At 51.7% G+C, this 24,365-nt stretch overlaps 1 long non-coding RNA gene and 1 pseudogene across 3 annotated transcripts; one reads left to right on the top strand and one right to left on the bottom strand.

Annotated features, from left to right (window-relative positions):
* The window catches only part of LOC124901865 (translation initiation factor IF-2-like), a 451,468-nt pseudogene that overhangs the window by 373,699 nt on the left and 53,404 nt on the right, over positions 1 to 24,365 (bottom strand).
* LOC101929400 (uncharacterized) lies at positions 4,846 to 14,045 on the top strand. 3 transcript variants are annotated; one of them, XR_005646962.1, is made up of 4 exons: positions 4,846 to 5,070; positions 10,486 to 10,553; positions 10,944 to 11,184; positions 13,562 to 14,045. It is a non-coding gene; the product is annotated as an uncharacterized LOC101929400 (long non-coding RNA). The 3 variants fall into 3 exon arrangements; XR_005646963.2 differs by lacking the exon at positions 4,846 to 5,070 and adding an exon at positions 5,085 to 5,347; XR_005646961.1 differs by lacking the exon at positions 4,846 to 5,070 and having other exon boundaries at positions 9,123 to 10,553; positions 13,562 to 14,044.

The following is a 24,365-nucleotide window of genomic DNA, read 5'->3' as shown; positions in this document are numbered from 1 at the left end:
ACAGAAGCTTCACCTAAACCAGTTCTTCAACTTCAGCCTGCATTAGAATACTCTGAGAGCTTGTTAAAAATACCATCTCCTGGAGCCCACTCTTCAAGAGTCGGTGAGTTTCTTCATCATCAAAATATACACAGAATTCAGGCAGTCTTCAGCCCCAGCCTGGTCTGAGCCTCTGTGGACTCCCACCTGCAGAATGTCCCTGCTTCTGCTCTTACCTTCTTATTAACCATTCGAGTAGCCGGGGTGATCCTTTTTAAAAATTTTTTTAAATTTTTTTGTGATGAAGTCTCACTCTGTTGCCCAGGCTGGAGTGCAGTGGTGCTATCTCAGCTCGCTGCAGCTCTACCTCCTGGGCTCAAGCAATCCTCCCACCTCAGCCTCCTGGGTAACTGGGAACACAGACATACACCACCACACCCGGCTAATTTTTGTATTTTTTGTAAAGACACGGTCTTGCTATGTTGCCAGGCTAGTCTTGAACTTCTGTGTGCACCCACCTCAGCCTCCTGAATTTTTAGGAGGCCCCTCTTGTAGGGATTTTGATCCAGATGCCTGGGTGCCTCATGTCTCCTCCCATCTCTCTCTGTCTTTCTGTCTCTGTCTCTCTCTCTCTCTTTCTCTTTGCCTTATAGCTGCCCTGAGGTCTAGACTCTCCCTTAGGCATCCCTCTGGCTCTTGTTTGCTTTTATACTGAGGCTGCTTTAAATTGCACCTTGATCTGAAGCCTTGGGCTTCTGTTCCTATTCCTTGCTTTTGTTGGAAGGGCCGTGCAGCTTCTTGACAAATTGCAAAGGTGCCCACGAGTTTCCAAGTCCCCAAGAACCAAACCAGATGACAAACAAGGATGCAGTCCACAGCTGTGGAGACAGATTTCATGTCCACACAGAGACTCCAAGATGCTGAACTGAAATCCACCTCGAAACCTGTTTTCTCTCTCATTTAAGTTCATTGTCACCTGGGGGCTTGCAGGGCAGAGCTGGTGACCATTCTCAGGGCAAAGATGCTTTGAAATGTCAACTGAGAATGGTGTGGTGGTTGACAGATGGCACGTCAGAGCATAGATTAACATGGAAAGAGAAACTCACCCCTTGTGGGGAGTGTGTGAGGCTGGCAGCCACACAGAGGGCTTTTCCTGTGAGCTCTTGCATAGATGCAAACAGCCAGGAGGTTTTGCTTTCTGATCCTAAGTGGAAGCATGTTCTTCCCTGCAAATTGCCGCTCTGCAGCAAATGTTTATTCCTGTTGCATTGATTAAAAGTGCTTACCAGGCCGGGCGCGGTGGCTCACGCCTGTAATCCCAGCACTTTGGGAGGCCGAGGCAGGCAGATCACAAGGTCAGGAGATTGAGACCATCCTGGCTAACACGGTGAAACCCCGTCTCTACTAAAAATACAAAAAATTAGCCAGGCATGGTGGCGGGCACCTGTAGTCCCAGCTACTTGGGAGGCTGAGGCAGGAGAATGGCATGAACCCAGGAGGCGGGGCTTGCAGTGAGCCGAGATTGTGCCACTGCACTCCAGCCTGGATGACAGAGCAAGACTCCGTCTCAAAAATACAAAGTGCTTACCGAAGTGGTTTGAGGGCAGCGGTGACACTGTGAGTTATGGCTCTGCCGGCTGCCAGTGGAGCCAGCCTCTCTGCACAGCCGTGCAAGGGTGTTTTGAAAAGTGGCTCAGCCGGCCAGGAGTGACTGGCTGTAAATATTGCTGCCAGAACATCTTGTAGCCTGATTGGGGCCGTGTTTGCAGAACCCCTAAACCACTACACTTGTTCAGGCTTAAAAATAAGCTTACATTTTTTTGTTTGTTTTGTTTTGTTTTATGAGATGGAGTCTAATTCTGTCACCAGGTTGGAATGCAGTGGCATGATCTTGGCCCACTGCAACCTCTGCCTCCTGCGTTCAAGTGATTCTCCTGCCTCAGGCTCCCGAGTAGCTGGGACTATAGGCGTGTGCCATCATGGCCAGCTAATTTTTGAATTTTTAGTACAGACGGGGCTTCACCTTGTTGGCCAGGATGGTGCGATCTCTTGACCTCGTGATCTGCCCGCCTTGGCTTCCCAAAGTGCTAGGATTACAGGCGTGAGCCACCGTGCCTGGTCAAACATAAACTTACTTTCTTACCTCTTCTGCTGAACTCTATGTGCTTCTTTTCGCAACTTCTGCTGAACTCTATTTTGCTTCTTTTTCCTGGATAAGGCTCTTGTTTATCCAGAAGAACTTTTAGCAACAAAGTTACCCAATGCCCTTCCCTAGTCTCTCCTTGCAACTGGTTTTCAGTGGTGGGGGTGGTGGGTAGGAGGAAATCCTTGACAGAACCAATTTACATGACTGTTTGGAGGACTCTCACTAGCCCCAGGAGGTGTTTACATTTTGAAATTGGTTACTAGTGTCAGAATGTTTCATGAGTAAGAGCACAGCCTCTAAGTTGGATACCCTGAATTTAAGTCTCAACATGGCCATTTTGTATATAAGCAGAGGATGGATTTGGGGACCCAATGGATCTACCATGACATGAACTTGGACCAACATTCACCTGACCTCCAAAATGCCTATTCTGACTGGTAGACCCTAGTCTCGCCCTAGTGCCAGTTCAGAGCCTGTGTCCAGTGGTCTTGCACAGGTCCCATTAGTTCCTTTTCTCCTATTCAGTCATCCCGGTAAAGGCTGTGTATTCCCTTGGGGCCAGGCTGGGAGAAAGATTGACAGTATAAATTTTTGGCAGTGGAGCAGAGTCCTTTCTGGAGGGGACCTGGCTTCCCATTCAGACAAGGGACTCCAGGTCTGTGAACTGGCTTATGTCTGGGAATTGACGGGGGACTGTGACTCTGTTTTTATGATTCAGATTAGACTTCTGCTCACCTGACCTAGAATTCTTCTGCAAACACAGATCCAGTAAAAATGTGGCAGGCTTCTTATCTATTTCAGTTCTAGGAAAGCCACGATCAGCAGGCACCATAGGTCTCTGCGAGTCAGGCTATTCTGGTTGCAGCTTTGACTCTGCTGTCTTTTATGGTAACTGCATCCACCTTGCCTTTGGGGATTGAGTGCTCTGATCACTTGACCCCAGCCCCTGTAGTGTGCGTATGTCACTTACCCTCTTTATACCTCAGTCTCCTCCTCTATAAAATGGGCATCCTCATTGCACCCACCCCCAGGGCTGCTGTGAGGTATAGATGGATTAGCATATGGAAAGTAATAGAAGAGGGTCTCAAAGCCCATGTGTCGTTATCAGAATTATTTCATGATGGGGAGAGCTGGAGGAGAGAGGAAGGTGCTGAGCAGACCCACGTGCTCTCCCACCAGTGTTTCCTGAGCACCTACTATGTGCTGCCCACTGTGAGAGCTGTTAGGGTTGAAATAGGGAGCACAGCAGGATAGGAGCTGCCATTAGGAGCTTAGTGGGGAAACCGTTGTGCAACATGGTTACAGTGCTTGGGGTGGGGAAGGTCAGGGAGTACGGGGGCCTAGGATCCAGGGCAGAATCATGGAAAGGACACAGCCGCCCCAGCCTCCCCTGCCTCCCCTGCCTCCCTGACCTCCTCTCTTCCCTGGCCTCTCCTGCCTTCCTGGCTTCCCCTTCCGCCCCGGCCTCCCCAGTCTCCCCTGTCTTTCCTGCTTTTGAGGTGGGCCAGGAGCTGCTGGTGCTCACTTAGTCTGTCCTGGACTCTGGGTGTAGCACTTCGATGTCCAGAAAATACCCCCGGGTTCAGCTTATCACACAGCCAAGAAAGGAGCTCCACACTGACACTAAGGGTGCATCCTGGGCTCATTCATCAGGACATGCCTCCAAAATATTTCTCCATGTCTCCTCCCTTTGCCCACCTGCATTGTCTCTGTGCGTCAGCCCCAGCTGGGGGCCTGCAAGGATCCTCTATCTCCTCTGCCCCTGCACGGCTGGGTCTCAGACAATCTGTCTGCCCACCACACCTCTCTCCTGTTGCCCACCACGCTCCAGCCCCACAGTCCTCTTTCTGCTTCTTTCCCAGCCTCTGGGCTTTTGCACACGCTGTTCCCTCTGCCTGAACACCCTCCACTGGGCTGAGAACAACTCTCTGAGACCTCTCTCAGCTGTTGCTTCCTTTGGAAAAGCCGCTGCTTCTGTCCCTCTCCCAGCTCAAAGACGTGCTGAGCCTCCTGTCTTTTTCAGTTCCCATGCCCCCAGCACTTCTCCTTGGCCTCCTTTGGCCCAGTTGACAATGTCCATTCTCAATGCCTTCCCACCCAGAGCTGAGCCCCACTGGGTGAAGGCAATGCCTGTCATGTTCTCCACAATATCCCCTCCCCCATCACCACGACTGGTCCACAGTGATGCTCAAAAAAGATCTGTTGGTAGGCAATGGGAAGGTGCATTCATGTCATCCTGCAGGAGGAATTCTCCACGAGTTTTGAGCAGCCTCGGGTTTCCCACCACCTCCAAATCATGGAAGACACAGGGTAAGAGCAAAGACAAGGTGGCTTTGGCCGATGTCCACCCTCTCGTGGCGTCCCTTCTCTTCTCTCCTCCTTGAGCAGGGAGACCATCGGGGTGCAACCTGGCCGGGGCGGGGAGGAGGTGCAGGGCATTGCCAGAGCGGGCCTGTCCATGGGCAAGGGATAGCGACCTCCTGGGCCAGGACATGTGAGAGCTACGCAGGCCTGGGCCCGGCGTGGCGGAGGTGCGCGAGAGCGGCCAGAAGAGGGCGCCAGAGTGCCAGGAGCCGCCCGCGGAGGAGCCCGCACCGGCCCCGATACCCAGCTCCGCGCCGCGCGGACCCACCGAGCCCGTGCTCAGACGCCCCAGCTCCGCCGAGAGGCCGCTCGCGCCGTGTCCTTCTTCTTCCCCAAGTTCAGGCAGAGCCCCCGGAGCCATGGCCAGCCCTTCCAGCAGCTCCGAAGCCACTGGCAAGCCCCGAGGCAGGGATGGCCGGCCCAGAAGGGAGGAGGAGGAGGACGTCCCTCCCGAAGAGAAGAGGCTGGGGCTGTAGCTGGAGGGGGGAAGCGCACAGCCCGAGGACTGCGAGGACAGGGAGGACCCGCCGCTGCCGGGCACGAAGGAGACCGGCACCCAGACAGGTGGCGACGGCAAAGGAGTAAGTGACGCGGGCGCGGGGGTGCCGGGGACGCGACGAAGGGACGTCGGGAGGCTCCGTGGCCGTCCCCGGGTTGAAGTTGGGAGTGCAGCCTTCATTCTGAACCCATTTAGGCAGCATGGGCAGCCCTCCTCGCCATGGGCAGGATCAGAGCCCCCCCGCCCAGTCTTGGGGTTGCTCCTGGATGCTGTCTGGGAGGCTTGCTCATGGTGACATCCTCATCTCCCCGTCCACGTTACCGCATTCAGAGCTTGGGTCACCTGGACACTGAACTCAGGTGAATTTTCTCTGAGATCCCGGGAGAAGGAGGACAGTTCTTTGGAAGGTTTTCCAGGGCCGATCACGGAAAGGATGAGAAGGGAGAGGTCCTGGTCGGGGACACAATTATGGTGGCAGTGTAACGCCGGGAAACTTTATTGCATGAAGTCCCTCTCACTCCCTCTACCTCCCTCTTTTACGTGGACTCTGCCAAAGACCAGGATACCAGAATGCGGTGGAGAGGCCAAGTGTAGTGAGACCTTGGGAATGCGATTCTGGAGCCAGGCGGCTGGGGTTTGCATCCTGGTTCTGCCCTTCCTTAGCTGGCTGACATGGCACAAGCCACTTACCCTGTCTGAGCCTTACTGTCTTCAGTGGCAAATGGATCTGTCAACAGGCTCCATTGCCTGGGGTTGTTGCTGCTGAGATTAAGGGAAGCTCGTCCATAGAAGCACTTAGCGTTGTGCCTGGCACATAGTGTATGGTGGATAAGTGGGACTTAAGACTAAAACTCATGCCCTGATGTGTTTTTGCAGTGATGTTTTGTTCTGGAGTACTTCACAAGAGACAAGGTCCTTGGCTGGGCATGGTGGCTGAAGCCAATAATCCCAGCACTTTGAGAGGCCGAAGGGGGAGGATCGCTTGAGCCCAGGAGTTTAAGACCAGCCTGGGCAACATGGTGAAGCCTCATATCTACCAAAAAAAAAAAAAAAAAAAAAAAAAGGCAGTTATGGTGGTGTGTGCCTGCAGTCCCAAGTACTTGGGAGGCTGAGGTGGGAGGATTGCTAGAGCCTGGAAGGTTGGGTTGCAGTGAGCTGTGATCACGCCACTGCACTTCAGCCTGGGTGACAAAGTGAGACCGTTTCAAGGAAAAGAGAGAGAGAGACAGACAGACCCACAAGAGTCTTAAGCCAGAATCTCCATGTTAAAATGCTTTCTGGAGGCTAAAAGGATGATATGTTGATAATGAAATGTTTAAAAGGCAGAAACCCCGCTGAATTTTTTGGTCCACAGAGGGAAATGGGAATAGCATGACCTGAAGGATGATGGATGAACTGAATAGAAACCATCCTTGTTTCCTGAATCTGAACATGGCACCCTCTTTTCATGGTGCCTGTATCTGCTCAGTCCGGCAGCCCCTTGAAAAGAGGGAATCTTGATTTTCAAACTTAAAATTTGGCCCAAAGCTCGCTGCTGCCCACAATGCCCGCCAGACACATTCCTCTTCCCTTTTAGTTCCTATGGGAATACTCTCTTTGAAGAACCCATGAAGCAGTGTCAGGCTGGTACGAGGATCAGCAGTGATTTCTTTGAGGAGGAGAGCCCGTTTCTTCACTCACAGGCCATGTCTGAGTGGATCAAGAAGAACAGAGTGCCCTTTTATGAGATTTTGTCTGCGTAGACCACTAGCTTGGTAAAAATGTCAAAACCATCCTCGTTCTTTAATAACAGATTATTTTGGACTTTTCTCTGCAAGAAGCAGCATGGGCATTCAGATGCTTTTAAGGATAAAATGTTCTTTCTCATCACCAGGCCTGGTGCTCTGGATGGCTGAGGTTTTAATGTGACTGGATGTCCCTTGGAGTGGCTCCCAGGCTGTGCTCTTGTGGTTGGGTGGCAAGCGGTTGCTTTATTCGGTGGTGGCTAGAGGATGTTTTAGCAGATTAATCGGGACCCCAGGAGCCCTTGAGTGTCAAGTCCTGCTGCAGGGCATGTGTTTATGGTGGGGAGGTGGGGGAGGGGGGAGGATGGGGGCATTGATTTCCTCCCAATATCAGAAGTTTCACAGGCTTCTTGCTTATCCACAAACACCCACCCCATTGAGAAGGCCTAGAAAATCTGCCCCTCCTCAAGCCTTTATTGACCGCTTGTGAATGATCCCAGTGTGTGTCTGACCCACAGCTCCTCCTGGAGGGAGAGAAAAGTCTCTCCTAGGTATTTGGTTGTCCACCTCAACCACTTGCTGAGTCTTCCGCAAGACCAGGCACCTCGGCAGAGATTTCTGGGTTGTCAGGCAGAACCGAGCATTCAAGGGTGATAACTCACTGGAGTCCCTGAAATCCCTGATGGACGCACCAGGTAAAAGCATCCAGGGTTGAAACCAGATCAGGAAGCTTATTGTCAGCCTGGGGCTCCTGTAGAGGTGCATCCACGTTGCAGGGATTTTCCTTTTTGCTGAGGAGAAACCTGGGTTTCTCAGCTTTGGCACAGTCAGAATATTTGTGGTGAGACCATTCGTGGTGCTGGTGGTGGGGCTGTCCTGTGTATTGAAGGATGGTTAGCAGCATCTGTGGTCTCCATCCTCTAGGTGCCATTCTACCTTCCCTGCTATGGCTACCCCAGACGTCTCCAGATGGTTTCAAATAATGTGGGGCAAGGGAGCGGTACGTGAGCAAAACCACCCCAGTTGAGAGCCATTGGTCTACACTTGTGGAAATGTTTGAGGGTGAGAGTGTCGAGCTTGGGTCCCTGCTGTACCCTTTATGAGCAATGCGGTCTTGTAAAATTAATACTACTCCAGGGGCCTCAGTTTTCTCATCTATAAAATGGAGATAAATGAGATACACTTTGATAGGAAGGTTATATGGGATTCACCGAGATAATAAGACAGTACATGGAAAATGCTGGGCATAGCATTTATTTATTTTAATTTTTTTTTAAGACAGAGTCTTACTCTGTTGCCCAGGTTGGAGTGCAGTGGCATGATCTCCGCTCACTGCAACCTCCACCTCCTGGGTTCAAGTGATTCTCCTGCCTCAGGCTCCCGAGTAACTGGGACTACAGGCGTGCGCTATCATGCCCATCTAATTTTTGAATTTTTAGTAGAGATGGAGCTTCACCATGTTAGCCAGGATAGTCCGATCTCTTGACCTCGTGATCTGCCCGCCTCGGCCTTCCCAAGTGCTGGGATTACAGGCGTGAGCCACCGTGCCTGGCCAAACATAAACTTACTTTCTTACCTCTTCTGCTGAACTCTATTTGCTTCTTTTCCCAAATGTCTTTATCCAGAAGAGCTTTTAGCAACAAAGTTACCCAATGCCCTTCCCTAGTCTCTCCTTGCAACTGGCTCTCAGCAGTGGGTGGGGGGAAATCCTTGACAGAACCAATTTACATGACTGTTTGGAGGACTCTCACTAGCCCCAGGAGGTGTTTACATTTTTAAATTGGTTACTAGTGTCAGAATGTTTCATGAGTAAGAGCCCAGCCTCTATGTTGGATGCCCTGAATTTGAATCTCAGCATTGCCGCTTTGTATATAACCAGAGGATGGATTTGGGGACCCAATGGACCTACCGTGTCATGAACTTGCACCAACATTCACCTGACCTTCAAAATGCCTATTCTGACTGGTAGACCCTAGTCTCATCCTAGTGCCAGTTCAGAGCCTGTGTCCAGTGATCCTGCACAGGTCCCATTAGTTCCTTTTCTCCTGTTCAGTCATCCTAGCAAAAGGCTGTTTATTCCCTTGGGGGCAGGCTGGGAGAAAGATTGACAGTATAAATTTTTGGCAGTGTAGCAGAGTCCTTTCTGGAGGGGACCTGGCTTCCCATTCACACAAGGGACTCCAGGTCTGTGAACTGGCTTATGTCTGGAAATTGACCGGGGACTGTGACTCTGTTTTTATTAATCAGATTAGACTTCTGCTCACTTGACCTAGAACACTTCTGCAAACACAGTTCCAGTAAAAATGTGGCAGGCTTCTTATCTATTTCACTTCTAGGAAAGCCAGGATCAACAGGCACCATAGGTCGCTGCGAGTCAGTCTATTCTGGTTACAGCTTTGACTCTGCTGTCTTTTATGGTAACTGCATCCACCTTGCCTTTGGGGATTGAGTGCTCTGATCACTTGACCCCAGCCCCTGTAGTGTGCGTATGTCACTTACCCTCTTTATACCTCAGTCTCCTCCTCTATAAAATGGGCATCCTCATTGCACCCACCCCCAGGGCTGCTGTGAGGTATAGATGGATTAGCATATGGAAAGTAATAGAAGAGGGTCTCAAAGTCCATGTGTCGTTATCAGAATTATTTCGTGACAGGGGAGAGCTGGAGGAGAGAGGAAGGTGCTGAGCAGACCCACGTGCTCTCCCACCAGTGTTTCCTCAGCACCTACTATGTGCTGCCCACTGTGAGAGCTGTTAGGGTTGAAACAGGGAGCACAGCAGGGTAGGGGCTGCCATCAGGAGCTTAGTGGGGAGACCATTGTGCAACATGGTTCCAGCGCTTGGGGTGGGGAAGCTCAGGGAGTTCAGGGGCCTAGGATCGAGGGCAGAATCATGGAAAGGACATAACCTCCCCAGCCTCTCCTGCCTCCATTGCCTCCCGGGCCTCCTCTGCTTCCCTGGCCTCTCCTACCTTCCTGGCTTCCCCTTCCGCCCCGGCCTCCTCAGTCTCCCCTGTCTCTCCTGCTTTTGAGGTGGGCCAGGAGCTGCTAGTGCTCACTTAGCCTGTCCTGGGCTCTTGGTGTAGCACCTCAATGTCCAGAAAATACCCCCGAGTTCAGCTCATCACACAGTCAAGGAAGGAGCTCCACACTGACACTAAGGGTGCATCCTGGGCTCATTCATCAGGGCATGCCTCCAAAATATTTCTCCACGTCTCCTCCCTTTGCCCACCTGCACTGTCTCTGTGCCTGAGCCCCGGCTGGGGGCCTGCAAGGATCCCGTATCTCCTCTGCCCCTGCACGGCTGGGTCCCAGGCAATCTGTCTGCCCACCACACCTTCCTCCCCTTGCCCACCATGCTCCAGCCCCACAGTCCTCTTTCTGCTTCTTTCCCAGCCTCTGGGCTTTTGCACACGCTGTTCCCTCTGCCTGAACACCCTCCACTGGGCTGAGAACAACTCTCTGAGACCTCTCTCAGCTGTTGCTTCCTTTGGAAAAGCCGCTGCTGCTGTCCCTCTCCCAGCTCAAAGACGTGCTGAGCCTCCTCTCTTTTTCAGTTCCCATGCCCCCAGCACTTCTCCTTGGCCTCCTTTGGCCCAGTTGACAATGTCCATTCTCAATGCCTTCCCACCCAGAGCTGAGCCCCACTGGGTGAAGGCAATGCCTGTCATGTTCTCCACAATATCCCCTCCCCCATCACCACGACTGGTCCACAGTGATGCTCAAAAAAGATCTGTTGGTAGGCAATGGGAAGGTGCATTCATGTCATCCTGCAGGAGGAATTCTCCACGAGTTTTGAGCAGCCTCGGGTTTCCCACCACCTCCAAATCTTGGAAGACACAGGGTAAGAGCAAAGACAAGGTGGCTGTGGCCGATGTCCACCCTCTAGTGGCGTCCCTTCTCTTCTCTCCTCCTTGAGCAGGGAGACCATCGGGGTGCAACCTGGCCGGGGCGGGGAGGAGGTGCAGGGCATTGCCAGAGCGGGCCTGTCCATGGGCAAGGGACAGCGACCTCCTGGGCCAGGACATGTGAGAGCTGCGCAGGCCTGGGCCCGGCGTGGCGGAGGTGCGCGAGAGCGGCCAGAAGAGGGCGCCAGAGAGCCAGGCGCGGCCCGCGGAGGAGCCCGCGCCGGCCCCTATACCCAGCTCCGCGCCGCGCGGACCCACCGAGCCCGCGCTCAGACGCCCCAGCTCCACCGAGAGGCCGCTCGGGCCGTGTCCTTCCTCTTCTCCAGGTGCAGGCAGAGCCCCCGAGCCATGGCCAGCCCTTCCGGCAGCTCCGAAGCCACTGGCAAGCCCCGAGGCAGGGATGGCCGGCCCAGGAGGGAGGAGGACGACGTCCCTCCCGAAGAGAAGAGGCTGGGGCTGTAGCTGGAGGGGGGAAGCGCACAGCCCGAGGACTGCGAGAACGGGGAGGACGCGCCGCGGCCAGGCAGGGAGGAGACCGGCACCCAGACAGGTGGCGACCGCAGAGGAGTAAGTGACGCGGGCGCTGGGGTCCGGGGGTGCCGGGGGCGCCGGTAGGGGCGGCGGGAGGCTCCGTGGCCGGCCCCGGGTTGAAGTTGGTATTTTAGCGGCAACTCCGAAGGGCGCGGAGTGACAGCGCGTGACGGCCTCCGAGACGCCAGCTGCCGCTTCTCGGCTGTGTGGCTTTGACTTCCTGATTCTCCCACGACGTCGCTGGCTGGGAGACCCACTGGACTCTGCGGCTGGCCAAAAAGAGAGGGGCAGCCCCGCGTCCTGGGGGCCCCTAGCAGGGGAAGTGGCGGGTGTTGCGCTGGGCATCCTGTCTGGGGCATCTGTCTGGGACCCTGTTGGTGCCTCTCACCTGGCGAGGGGCCAGTGGTGGGGGTAGGGGGGAAGTCCCTGGCGCCAGGCTTGGCCAAGCCCTGCTTGGCTGGACTGCGGGCTGGCGGCGCTCACCCAGCTCCTCACCTGTCCCGCATCTTCCTGTTTTTCTTCCCTTTCTGGTTGGGCAGCAAGAGTTGAGAGGAGGCAGATGGCTTCCATCCCAGAAATCGCTCTCCTCTTTCCATCCCTACAGAGAAGGACAGAGAGGCAAAGTTCCTTGCATCCCCGGGGCGCTGTCCCTGTGAGCTCCCGGTGTCCTGCAAACGTTGGCCCCTGAATCACCGGGCCAGTGTGTGTGGGATGGGGCTGCGTAGCCAGGCTGGCCTCCTGGGGTTCACTTTCTGCTTTCCTACCCCAACTCTTCCTGTGTGGCTTTGCTGGCCTTCCACTGGGGAGGCATGTGGGTTTGGAGGGCAGATGAGGGCCCGCTGGAGAACTGTACCCCTCAGTGAGGGCCGCCACCTTGATGGTTTTTAATGGATAATGGGGTTGACCTCTTTGTTCCTTCCACATGTTTTTATGTTTGACCATTTGCTCAGCTGAGCTTGTCTTAATAATTGGATTCGTGGTTAATGAGCCCCACATGGGAGAGAGGGCGGTCTTCATTCTGAACCCATTTAGGCAGCATGGGCAGCCCTCCTCGCCGTGGGCGGCATCAGAGCCCCCCCGCCCAGTCTTGGGGTTGCTCCTGGATGCTGTCTGGGAGGCTTGCTCATGGTGACATCCTCTTCTCCCCGTCCACGTTACCGCATTCAGAGCTTGGGTCACCTGGACACTGAACTCAGGTGAATTTTCTCTGAGATCCCGGGAGAAGGAGGACAGTTCTTTGGAAGGTTTTCCAGGGCCGATCACGGAAAGGATGAGAAGGGAGAGGTCCTGGTTGGGGACACAATTACGGTGGCAGTGTAACGCCGGGAAACTTTATTGCATGAAGTCCCTCTCACTCCCTCTACCTCCCTCTTTTACGTGGACTCTGCCAAAGACCAGGATACCGGAATGCGGTGGAGTGACCAAGTGTAGTGAGACCTTGGGAACGCGATTCTGGAGCCAGGCGGCTGGGGTTTGCATCCTGGTTCTGCCCCTCCTTAGCTGGCTGACATGGCACAAGCCACTTACCCTGTCTGAGCCTTACTGTCTTCAGTGGCAAATGGATCTGTCAACAGGCTCCATTGCCTGGGGTTGTTGCTGCTGAGATTAAGGGAAGCTCGTCCATAGAAGCACTTAGCGTTGTGCCTGGCACATAGTGTATGGTGGATAAGTGGGACTTAAGACTAAAACTCATGCCCTGATGTGTTTTTGCAGTGATGTTTTGTTCTGGAGTACTTCACAAGAGACAAGGTCCTTGGCTGGGCATGGTGGCTGAAGCCAATAATCCCAGCACTTTGAGAGGCCGAAGGGGGAGGATCGCTTGAGCCCAGGAGTTTAAGACCAGCCTGGGCAACATGGTGAAGCCTCATATCTACCAAAAAAAAAAAAAAAAAAAAAAAAAGGCAGTTATGGTGGTGTGTGCCTGCAGTCCCAAGTACTTGGGAGGCTGAGGTGGGAGGATTGCTAGAGCCTGGAAGGTTGGGTTGCAGTGAGCTGTGATCACGCCACTGCACTTCAGCCTGGGTGACAAAGTGAGACCGTTTCAAGGAAAAGAGAGAGAGAGACAGACAGACCCACAAGAGTCTTAAGCCAGAATCTCCATGTTAAAATGCTTTCTGGAGGCTAAAAGGATGATATGTTGATAATGAAATGTTTAAAAGGCAGAAACCCCGCTGAATTTTTTGGTCCACAGAGGGAAATGGGAATAGCATGACCTGAAGGATGATGGATGAACTGAATAGAAACCATCCTTGTTTCCTGAATCTGAACATGGCACCCTCTTTTCATGGTGCCTGTATCTGCTCAGTCCGGCAGCCCCTTGAAAAGAGGGAATCTTGATTTTCAAACTTAAAATTTGGCCCAAAGCTCGCTGCTGCCCACAATGCCCGCCAGACACATTCCTCTTCCCTTTTAGTTCCTATGGGAATACTCTCTTTGAAGAACCCATGAAGCAGTGTCAGGCTGGTACGAGGATCAGCAGTGATTTCTTTGAGGAGGAGAGCCCGTTTCTTCACTCACAGGCCATGTCTGAGTGGATCAAGAAGAACAGAGTGCCCTTTTATGAGATTTTGTCTGCGTAGACCACTAGCTTGGTAAAAATGTCAAAACCATCCTCGTTCTTTAATAACAGATTATTTTGGACTTTTCTCTGCAAGAAGCAGCATGGGCATTCAGATGCTTTTAAGGATAAAATGTTCTTTCTCATCACCAGGCCTGGTGCTCTGTATGGCTGAGGTTTTAATGTGACTTGGTGTCCCTTGGAGTTGCTTCCAGGCAGTGCTCTTGTGGTTGGGTCGCAAGGGGTTGCTTTATTCGGTGGTGGCTAGAGGAGGTTTTAGCAGATAAATCGGGACCCCAGGAGCCCCTGAGTGTCAAGTCCTGCTGCAGGGCATGTGTTTATGGTGGGGAGGTGGGGGTGGGGGTGGAGGATGGGGGCATTGATTTCCTGCCAATATCAGAAGTTTCACAGGCTTCTTGTGTATCCACAAACACCCACCCCATTGAGAAGGCCTAGAAAATCTGCCCCTCCCCAAGCCTTTATTGACCGCTTGTGAATGATCTCAGGGTGTGTCTGACCCACAGCTCCTTCTGGAGACAGAGAAAAGTCTCTCCTAGGTATTTGGTTGTCAACCTCAACTGCTTGCTGAGCCTTCCCCAAGACCAGGCACCTTGGCAGAGATTTCTGGGTTGTCAGGCAGAACCGAGCATTCGAGGGTGATAACTCACTGGAGTCCCTGAAATCCCTGATGGACGCACCAGGTAAAAGCATCCAGGGTTGAAACCAGATCAGGAAGGTTATTGTCAGCCTGAGGCTCCTGTAGAGGTGCATCCACGTTGCAGGTATTTTCCTTCTTGCTGAGGAGAAACCTGGATTTCTCAGCTTTGGCACAGTCACAACATTTGGGGTGAGACCATTCGTGGTGGTGGTGGGGGGGCATCCTGTGTATTGTAGGACGGTTAGCAGCATCTGTGGTCTCCATCCTCTAGGTGCCATTCTACCCTCCCAGCTATGGCTACCCCAGATGTCTCCAGATGGTTTCAATGCTGTGGGGCAAGGGAGTGGTACGTGAGCAAAACCACCCCAGTTGAGAGCCATTGGTCTACACTTGTGGAAATGTTTGAGGGTGAGAGTGTCGAGCTTGGGTCCCTGCTGTACCCTTTATGAGCAATGCGGTCTTGGAAAATTAATACTACTCCAGGGGCCTCAGTTTTCTCATCTATAAAATGGAGATAAATGAGATACACTTTCATAGGAAAGTTATATGGGATTTACTGAGATAATAAGACAGTACATGGAAAATACTGGGCATAGCCTTTATTTATTTAATTTTTTTTTAAGACAGAGTCTTACTCTGTTACCCAGGCTGGAGTACAGTGGCATGATCTCTGCTCACTGCAACCTCCACGTCCTGGGCTCAAGTGATTCTCCTGCCTCAGCCTCCAGAGTAGCTGGGATTACAGGTGCCCACCACCACACCTGGCTAATTTTTGTATTTTTAGTAGAGATGGGGTTTCACCATGTTGGGCAGGCTGATCTCAAACTTCTGACCTCAGGTGATCCACCTGCCTCGGCCTCCCAAGTTGCTGAGATCACAGGTGTGAGCCAGCACACTGGGCTTGTCATTGCATTGTAACACAGACAAAGCACAAAATACTTGGACAATATATTTTTACATTTGGCTTGTCTAGACTCCATCCTCCATCCCCTCGTGCACTGGTGTGGTGCAGACCAGAATATCGCCCTCCTAGACTGCAGAGTGGATTTGGGTGGCATCTTGGCTTTCTGCACAAGACTTGCCTGCTCCCCACCACATCCCCCTGGTTCTCAGGGTCCAGGATTCCAGGAGGCCGGGATGTGGGTAGACAGGTCAGGTGGCCCACCCAGTTCACTCTCACACTGGGGACCTGCAGAGCCAGCTCCCTGAGACAGGGTGTTTTGACCAACATCTGGGTTTTTGGATTTCCATTTGAGCACAGCTGGACTACACAGGCTGAAGTTCTCTGCCGAGATATAGATATTTCCCTGGCGATGATCTTTCAAGTTGACATGAAGACATGGCCACCCGCTGGAACATCGTGGGTCTGCCGTGGCGCTCTTGTAATTTGTGAGGCAGGCTCCTGATGAATGCAGTGAGTAAGTGGGAAATGGTAGGATGTTCTCCCATCCTCCCCTTGCCGAAAGTGCTGCCTGCGCAGGTTGGTGGACGGTCCTTTGAGCAGGAAGAAGACACGGAGCACATTCCTGTTAGCTACGACAGAGAGGGGCAGGGTACACACTGGACATTTCAAGCCCCTGTAGAGAAGCAAGTCTTACTGTGCTGGGAGTACTTGTGGAGTGGGGGCTGTGTTGCCCTGGGCTTTAATTATTTCAGGAACATTTAACCACAGGGCCAGCAGGCTGGATCTTGATATGTGTTTCTCAGTTGGAAAGATTTTGGACCATAGAGAAATGTCTTCTCAATTCTTTTAATTTCATTAAGGTGGTCATTTTTCTTCTTGTGGCCTCTGGAATGTGACACAGAACTCAAGGGACAGGAAGGAGATGAGTTGCAGGCTGGGACAGGGGTCCCTGCCAGGGATGCTGGTGACTCACGTGACGGTGTTGATGTGTGGAGTCCGGTGCCTGGTTTGGGGAATGTTCGTGGGATATGTTCCAAAGGACTGACGGACCTATCAGGTACTGGAGGTGAATGGTCAAGTCTGATCTCAGGGCTGACAGTGTCAGGCAAGGACAGGAAGTTGGCATTGGTCTCATTGGCTGAGGTTGCTGGGGACCCAGGGGGCAATGTGTGCCAGGACAGATGGGTCTGGGGCTAGGAAGGCAGGTTTGGGCTGGCGACCCGGGCTTGGGAGGCATCCCAGGTAGACAGTGGTTGAGGCTGTGGAAATGACGGCGATTGCCTGGGATGAGAGTGGAGACAGACAAGATGGGGGTTTTGCTTTAAGCCTGGGGAGCCCACCTCCCAGGTTCAAGCGATTCTCCTGCCTCAGTTTCCCAAGTAGCTGGGAATGCAGGTGCGTGCCACCATGCCTGACTAACTTTTGTATTCTTAGTAGAGATGAGGTTTGACCAGGCTGGTCTCAAACTCCTGACCTCAAGTGATCGGCCCACCTTGGCCTCCCAAAGTGCTGGGATTACAGGCATGAGCCACCATGCCTGACCATTTTTAAATATTAATTTTTATGCAATATTTTCAAACACATTTTACTGTACATTGGAAAAGTCAATCATGATTTGAAAACTTTATAAAAATCCAATCAAATATCAATTAACCATTTAATTGTGGATAAGTAAGGAGACTATTTTGACCAAAACATGTTAGAACAATTACCACTTATAGAAATAATCTGTGTTTTAATGTTTTAGTTGAATTAAACAATCTTTTATATTCTGTCCAGGTGCAGTGGTTCACACCTGTAATCCCAGCACTTTGGGAGGCCGAGGCTGGCGGATCACCTAAGGTCAGGAGTTCGAGACCAGCCTGGTCAACATGGCAAAACTGTCTCTACTAAAAATACAGAAATTAGCCAGGTGTGATGGCACACACCTGCAATCCCAGCTACTTGGGAGGCTGAGGCAGGAGAATCGTTTGCACCTGGGAGACAGAGGTTGCAGTCAGCCGAGATGGAACCACTGTACTTCAGCCAGCCTGGGTGACAGAGCGAGACTCTGTTTCAAAAATAAATAAATAAATAAAATAGAATTCTGAATTTTATTTTTAACAATTATTTTTGTAAAGAGAATGTCTTGTTTTTTGGAGTTGTTGAATTTATTGAATTGGCAAAAATTATGTACAAGAGGGTATACAACATGATGTGATTGAGGTATGTATACATTATGAAATGGCTAAATCAAGCTAAATAACATATCACCTCCCAGACTTACTTTTTGGGGTGAGAACACTTAAACAATCTACTCTCTTAGTGATTTCCAAGTATATGATATGTTGTTATTAACTATAGGTACCTTGTTGTCCCATGGATCTCCTGAACTTATTCTTCTCTAAAAATGACATTCTGTGTCCTTTGGCATCTGCCCACTTCCCCACCCTGGCAACCATCATTCTACTCTGCTTCTGTGAATTCAACTTTTTTCTTCTCTTTTTTTTTTTTCTTTTTTTTGAGAAAATCTCCTTCTATTGCCCAGGCTGTAGTGCAGGGTTGTGATCATGGCTCACTGCAGCCTTGAGGTCCCAAGTTCAATCAATCCTTCCACCTCAGCCTCCTGAGTATCTGGGAGTACAGGCATGCACTACCATGCTCCACTAATTTTTGTATTTTTTGTAGAGATGGGGTATTGCTATGTTATGCAGGCTGGTCTCGAACTCCTGGGCTCAAGCAATCCTCTGGTCTCAGCCTCCCAAAGTGCTGGGATTACAGGCGTGAGCCACCATGCCTGGCCGAGTTCAACTTTTTTAGATTCCACATGTAAGTGAGATCATGTGGTATTTGTCGTTCTGTGCCTGGCTTATTTCACTTAACATAATATCCTCCAGGCTCATCCATGTTGTCTCAAATGGCAGGATTTCCTTCTTTTTGAAGGCTGAATAGTATTCCATTGTGTACATACACCACATTGTTGCTGGAAGTTTAATGGAGGCCAGTTGGGGGAGGATGGGGAGAAGATTCACTCTAAGTCTAGATGCTCCAGTACCCACGCAGGATGTGTGCAAGGAAGTGCAGGATGCTCCTGGTCTTGCAAACTGTGGTTTGTGGGACTCCAAAGCCCCTATCCTTCCACGATGCTTTCTGTCCTGTTATCACATTTCCTTGGAGGAGAACCCAGCCTTGGTGGAGAGCCCTGCTCTGGCTTTGTCCCTTGGCATGAGATGGCAAAGGATGGTGCCGCTGGGAGACCCTCACATCTGCACACTGGGGGCTGTTTGCCTTCTCCATTCCTCCTTCAAGTATCTGAGCAGCTCCTGTGTGCCAGCTGCTGGTCTACAAGATGGATGGGTCCTTGGAGATCACCCTGTAGCAGAGGAGGCAGGCTATAGCCCACAGGCCAGAACCAGCCCCCTGCCTGTTCACACAAATAAAGTTTTATTGGAACACAGCCACACCCATTTCAGTGCCTATTGTCTGTGGCTGCTTTCCTGCTACAATGGAGAGTGGAGAGTTGAATAGTTGGGACAGAGACCTATGGCCTGCAAAGCTGAACTATTTACCATCTGGCCCTGGAGAGAAAGGAAAAAAATGCTGATCCTTGTACCCCGACAGTCTTAGGTTAAGAGGACTTCGTACCACTCTGACGTCCCAGGCGGCCATGAGTCCAGCCACCCTTGAAATGTACACAAGTCTGGGCTGAGGTTGCAGCAGGTGAGGCCCAATTTTGCAGGTCTTTGGTATCAGGGGCACAACCCAGGATTTTGTGTGGGGTTTCTTCCTCACTGTGGCTGGGCACTGGGCAAGGGTGCTTTCTGATTTTTGTATGGGGAAGAGAAAGGAGGGAGGAAATGGCAACTTGTTGCCCTGTTCTAACATTTTCCTAAGATGGGTCTCGAGGCCAGGGCTTGGGATCTCACCTTGCACAGCTTAGAAAACCCAGTGAGGCCGGCTGTCTTGGCGCTGCCACTCTGAGGGATGGAGCCCACAAATGACTAGGAAGGGAGATAAAAGAATGGTTTCTGCAAGCACAAGAAGTGGCGTTATTGAAATTAACATTTCCCCCAAGTTTTACAATGTCTAGGCATGCATATTTAAGTGTCTGCCTCAAAAGCTCATGCTAATAAGGAGATGGTGCATTTAATTTCCTTTTTTTGTTCTCTGAGCAACATGCAGCTTCCTGCACAGCCCTCCTTGCAGGCAACTGCACTGAGGTGACAGTCCTCCTGACTGCCAGCACAGATCCCCAGGGCCTCTGAGGGCCCTGTATTCTGGGGGCAGTCTTTCACTTTCTATTCGGCCCCAGCTGGAAGGGAGCAGTTTAACCACAGCCCAGCACAGGTCTCCCGCCTTAGCTTCTCTAAGGAGTCTGGCTCCCTCTGACACTCTAGACCTCACCAGCTGAGGATCAGAGCCCCGGGGCAGGAGCCAGGGCCAGGGGGCATTGGGGCGTGGTTTGAGAGTGCAGCTCTGGAGGGGGGCAGTGCGGGCCCAGGAAAAGCTGCTCAGGGGAGACTGCAAAGAGATGGCAGAGTTAGTACAAGAGGGTCGGGCATGGTGGCTCACATCTGTAATCCCAGCACTTTGGGAGGCCGAGGTGGGCGGATCACCTGAGGCCAGGAGTTTGAGACCAGACTGGCCAATATGGTGAAAACCTGTCTCTACTAAAAATACAATAATTAGCCAGACATGGTGACACCTATAATCCCAGCTACTCGGGAAGCTGAGCCACGAGAATTGCTTGAACCCGGAAGGTGGAGGTTGTAGTGAGCTGAGATTGTGCCACTGTACTCCAGCCTGGGCAACAGAGCAAGATTCCATCTCAAAAAAAAAAAAAAAAAAAAATAGGACAGGAGGAGGAGGGAAGAGAAGGGAGCTGTGCGGCAGCGGCCAGGACCTTAAAGGCACAGAAGAGGAAGCTTGGATTTCCAATTCCAAAGGACATGAGGAAAATTCACACACCTTTATTTAACCTGCTCCTGGTGAGGCTGGGCTTTGTGTATTTTCCTTGTTTTCCTTTTCCTTGTATTCAGGCTGTTGTAGAAACAGGTACACAGGGGCTCTGTGTGGCGCCCTGTTCTAGTTGCCTTCAGGAAGCATGGGGTGCCCTGGTTTCCTTGGCTTCGTGTCCCCCTTTCCTCCTGCCACCCCTGACTGTGCCCCCCACCTTGTCCCTCAGAACATCTTCCTGGAAGGGCCTGGCCAGGGCTTGTGTCCTTGCTAGTCTCTGGGGAGGAAGACTCTGTGGCTTGAAAGGCTGTCGGCTTAAGTTGCAAGATGTAGGTGCCTGGGAGGGCATGTGCACGGCCCTCTTGACTGATCCATTCATGTTTTCCTTTTTTGACTCTGTTCTATGTTGTCCTGATGGAGGGGTAAGCCCCTGCCTTCTGCCTTTCCTGCCTTGGACTCTTGCAATTGGACCAGATGAGAGGGTCCATGTGGTCTGAGAATTCAAGCAATGCAGGCCAGACGTGGTGGCTCACACCTGTAATCCCAGGACTTTTGGAGGCTAAGGTGGGCAGGCCAGGAGTTTGAGACCAGGTGGCCAAAATAGTGAAACCCTGTATCTACAAAAAATACAAAAGTTAGTCGGGCTTGGTGGTGCATGCCTGTAATCCTAGTTATTTGGGAGGCTGAGGCAAGAGAATCCCTTGAACCCAGAAGGAGCAGGTTGCAGTGAGGAGCAGGTTGCAATGAGGAGGAGGTTGCAGTGAGGAGGAGGTTGTAGTGAAGAGCAGGTTGCAGTGAGGAGGAGGTTGCAGTGAGGAGGAGGTCGCAGTAAGGAGGAGGTTGCAGTGAGGAGGAGGTCGCAGTAAGGAGGAGGTTGCAGTGAGGAGGAGGTTGTAGTGAGGAGCAGGTTGCAGTGAGGAGGAGGTTGCAGTGAGGAGGAGGTTGTAGTGAGGAGCAGGTTGCAATGAGTAGGAGGTTGCAGTGAGGAGGAGGTCGCAGTGAGGAGGAGGTCGCAGTGAGGAGGAGGTCGCAGTGAGGAGGAGGTTGCACTGAGGAGGAGGTTGTAGTGAGGAGGAGGTTGTGGTGAGGAGGAGGTTGCAGTGAGCCGAGATTGTGTCCCTGGACTCCAGACTGGGCAATAGAGCGAGACTATGTCTCCAGAAAAAAAAAAAAAAAAAAAAAAAATTTATATAGAAAACAGAAAGCAAAACTACCTCTTGATTTGCTTTTCTTGTTCTTGCATCTCAGAGGTAACACTGGGAAGGGTTGGGTTATACCTCTCCCCACCTTTTTCTTTGATTTCTTTTTATTTTTTATTCTACGTTCTGAGATACATGTGCAGAATGTGCAGGTTTGTTACATAGATATACATGTGCCATGGTGGTTTGCTGCATCTATCAACCCGTCAACTAGGTTTTAAGCCCCACATGCATTAGGTATTTGTCCTAACGCTCTCCCTCGCCTTGTCCCCCACCCCCGATGGGCCCCGGTGTGTGATGTTCCCCTCCCTGTGTCCATGTGTTCTCATTGTTCAACTCCCACTTATGAGTGAGAGCACACCGTGTTTGGTTTTCTGTTTCTGTCCACAGCTTTTTCCTCTGTGCACACAAGCACATGTATTTGCACATAAGTGTTTATTGTAATATTTTTAAAAAAGTAAAAATGAAATAATGCTATATTTATTCTTTGGAAAGCCTGCTTTTCAGGCAGCATGTCTTTGACATTGTCTCACGTTGGAACCTGGGTACCACCTTCTTCTCCCAGCAGTTATTCTGACCTGTGGATGCACCACGCTTCGTTTAACCAGCCCTGCACCGATACGTCTTTGGATGGTTTCCGCCTTTTCCCAGTCACAGACGGTGTTCTGATGAATTTCCTTACACACATCACTTGGTGCTCTGTGCCTGCATTTCTGTGAGATGTTCCTGGAAGTGGGCTGTCTAGGTCAGAGGGGGATCTGTGCTCAATTTGCATCCTGTGCAAAATTCCATCCAGTCATCCACCTCCCCAAGGGCTCACATGGTACTGTCCTCTGTAGACATCATCTTCTGCAGATGATGGCATGACAGCCCCTCTTTCTTTTACTCACACCAGTCTGCACCCTGGTGTCCTGGGGGTTCCAGCCCCTACCCACTTGTCTGCCCTCACCCCACAGTGCCCCCAGCCCCTGCTAACAGGGACTCTGGCTTCTGAGCTCTGGCAGACTGCCTCACTCTGGAGAAGTTTGCTTTCTCAAACATTCCTGGCAATGTTACTGCAAATCTCGAGGCCTGCATTTGCCTTCTTCAGGCCTCAGTTTCCTCAAAAGTAAAATGGGGATAATGTGATGCTACTGTCTGCATCCTAGAGCTGCCATGAGGGTTCAGTGAGATCACTGTTGAGAGCACGTTCACAGCGCCGGCCTTGTGCGCAGTCAGCACGTGTGGGGCAGGGCTGTTGCTGATACGTGGTTGACTGTCATTGCTAGACTGTGGCTTTACCAGGGTCAGTGTCTTTAGTGCTGAGCCCAGAGCCACCCCTAGTACCTGCTGTGTTTATAGAGTGATTGAGTGGCAGGGTCAGAGACTGGGGCAATGGCAGCAGAAACAGAGGAAAGAAGTGGGGCTTCTAATAGTTCCTGCACCAGTGGCCCTTGAGATGAAGCCTTCTTGCCAAGGTCTGGGGCTGTGCTGTGTGTTCTAGGCCCGAGACTGGAAGCTAGGCCTGGCTACAGTCCCAGCTGACCTGGGGAAGTGCATGTCAGCATCCTGCTTCATTAGGACACCTCCAAGCCCAGCTTAGACGTGGATTCCAGGTGACCCCCTGTTTACTCTGAGCCCAGACAGAGGACAGAGAAGTGTGCAAGGGTGGGGACCCTCATCACAGCCCTTGACTCTGTAAGGCATATGGGTTTGTGCACGTGTGTGAGCACGGCCGTGGCTTCTCTGTGAGTTTCAAGCTCGAGGTTGTGTTTATGCAGGGTTAGGCTTGCCAGGTAAAATACAGGAGGTCCAATTAAACCTGAACTTCTCATTAACCTTTTTTTTTTTTTTTTTTTTTTTTGGTGCAAATATATCCCATGTAATATTTGGGACCTGCTTACCCTAAAAAATGATTTGTTGTTTATCTGAAATTCAAGTTAAGCTGGCATCCTGTCTTTTCACTTGCTACGTATGAGAGTTCCGTGTGGGGGTTATCAGTGTGCATTTGTGAGTTCCCATGTGAAGGACTCTCTCCAAGTGTCTGTAGGTGCCAGGATGGAGATGGACAGAGAAGGTCCTCTTGGGCTGCTTTAGTGGCACCTAGAGGCTGTGGGGTTGGACACTTCAGCCCCAGGGGCCTGGGCAGCACTGTCCAGCACGTGCCTGCTCCTGTCTTCTCCACGGGGGCTGACTTCCCTGCCATCTCTCTCCAAATACGGTGGCAAGAGCTATCCCATCTGCCCCCATCTGGAGCTCGGCGTCCCAGCCAGACAAGATGGCAAACAGTGTGCAGAGGGTTGCAAAGCTTTCCCCAGCTCCTTCTGCAAGGGGCCTGCAGATGAAAGGGAAGCCCTCATCCTCACCGCCTCCCCCTTCCAGAAAACCCAGGCAACAGCCACCTCTGAATGCTGCTTTAGAAGCTTCTCCCTCCTGGTGATTAAACCACCACAAACAAATAAAGCACTGCATTTCCACCATAGACTTGTTCATATGCACGCAGCCAGTTGTCTTGGATCTGCCCCTGTGCCTGATTCATCAGGGTGAGGGGTTCTCCTCTGAGGTGCTTGCAAAGAGCTGCCTAATTTTCATGTGAAAGACTCTCTGTAGAAACCAGGCCCAGCTTTGGAAGAAAGCCCTTTCTCCCCCTTTAGCAAATTCGGTGTCATTTTTTTTTTTTTCTTTTTTGAGACGGAGATTCACTTTTGTTGCCCAGGCTGGAGTGCAATGGTGCAATCTCAGTTCACTGCAGTCTCTGCCTCCTTGGTTCAAGCGATTCTCCTGCCTCAGCCTCCTGAGTAGCTGGGACTGCAGGCACCCACAACCACACCCAGCTATTTTTTTTTTTTTTTTTTGTATTTTTAGTAGAGAGGGAGTTTCACCATGTTGGCCAGGTTGGTCTTGAACTCCTGACCTCAGGTGATCCACCTCGGCCCCCAAAGTGCTGGGATTACAGGCATGAGCCACCACGCCTGGCTGGAATTC

Source organism: Homo sapiens, chromosome 8, assembly GCF_000001405.40.
Source record: "Homo sapiens chromosome 8, GRCh38.p14 Primary Assembly".
In the NCBI taxonomy this organism is placed as follows: Eukaryota; Metazoa; Chordata; class Mammalia; order Primates; family Hominidae; genus Homo; species Homo sapiens.
Note: the sequence above shows the minus strand (reverse complement) of the source record. Positions and strands in the feature narration are given on the sequence as shown.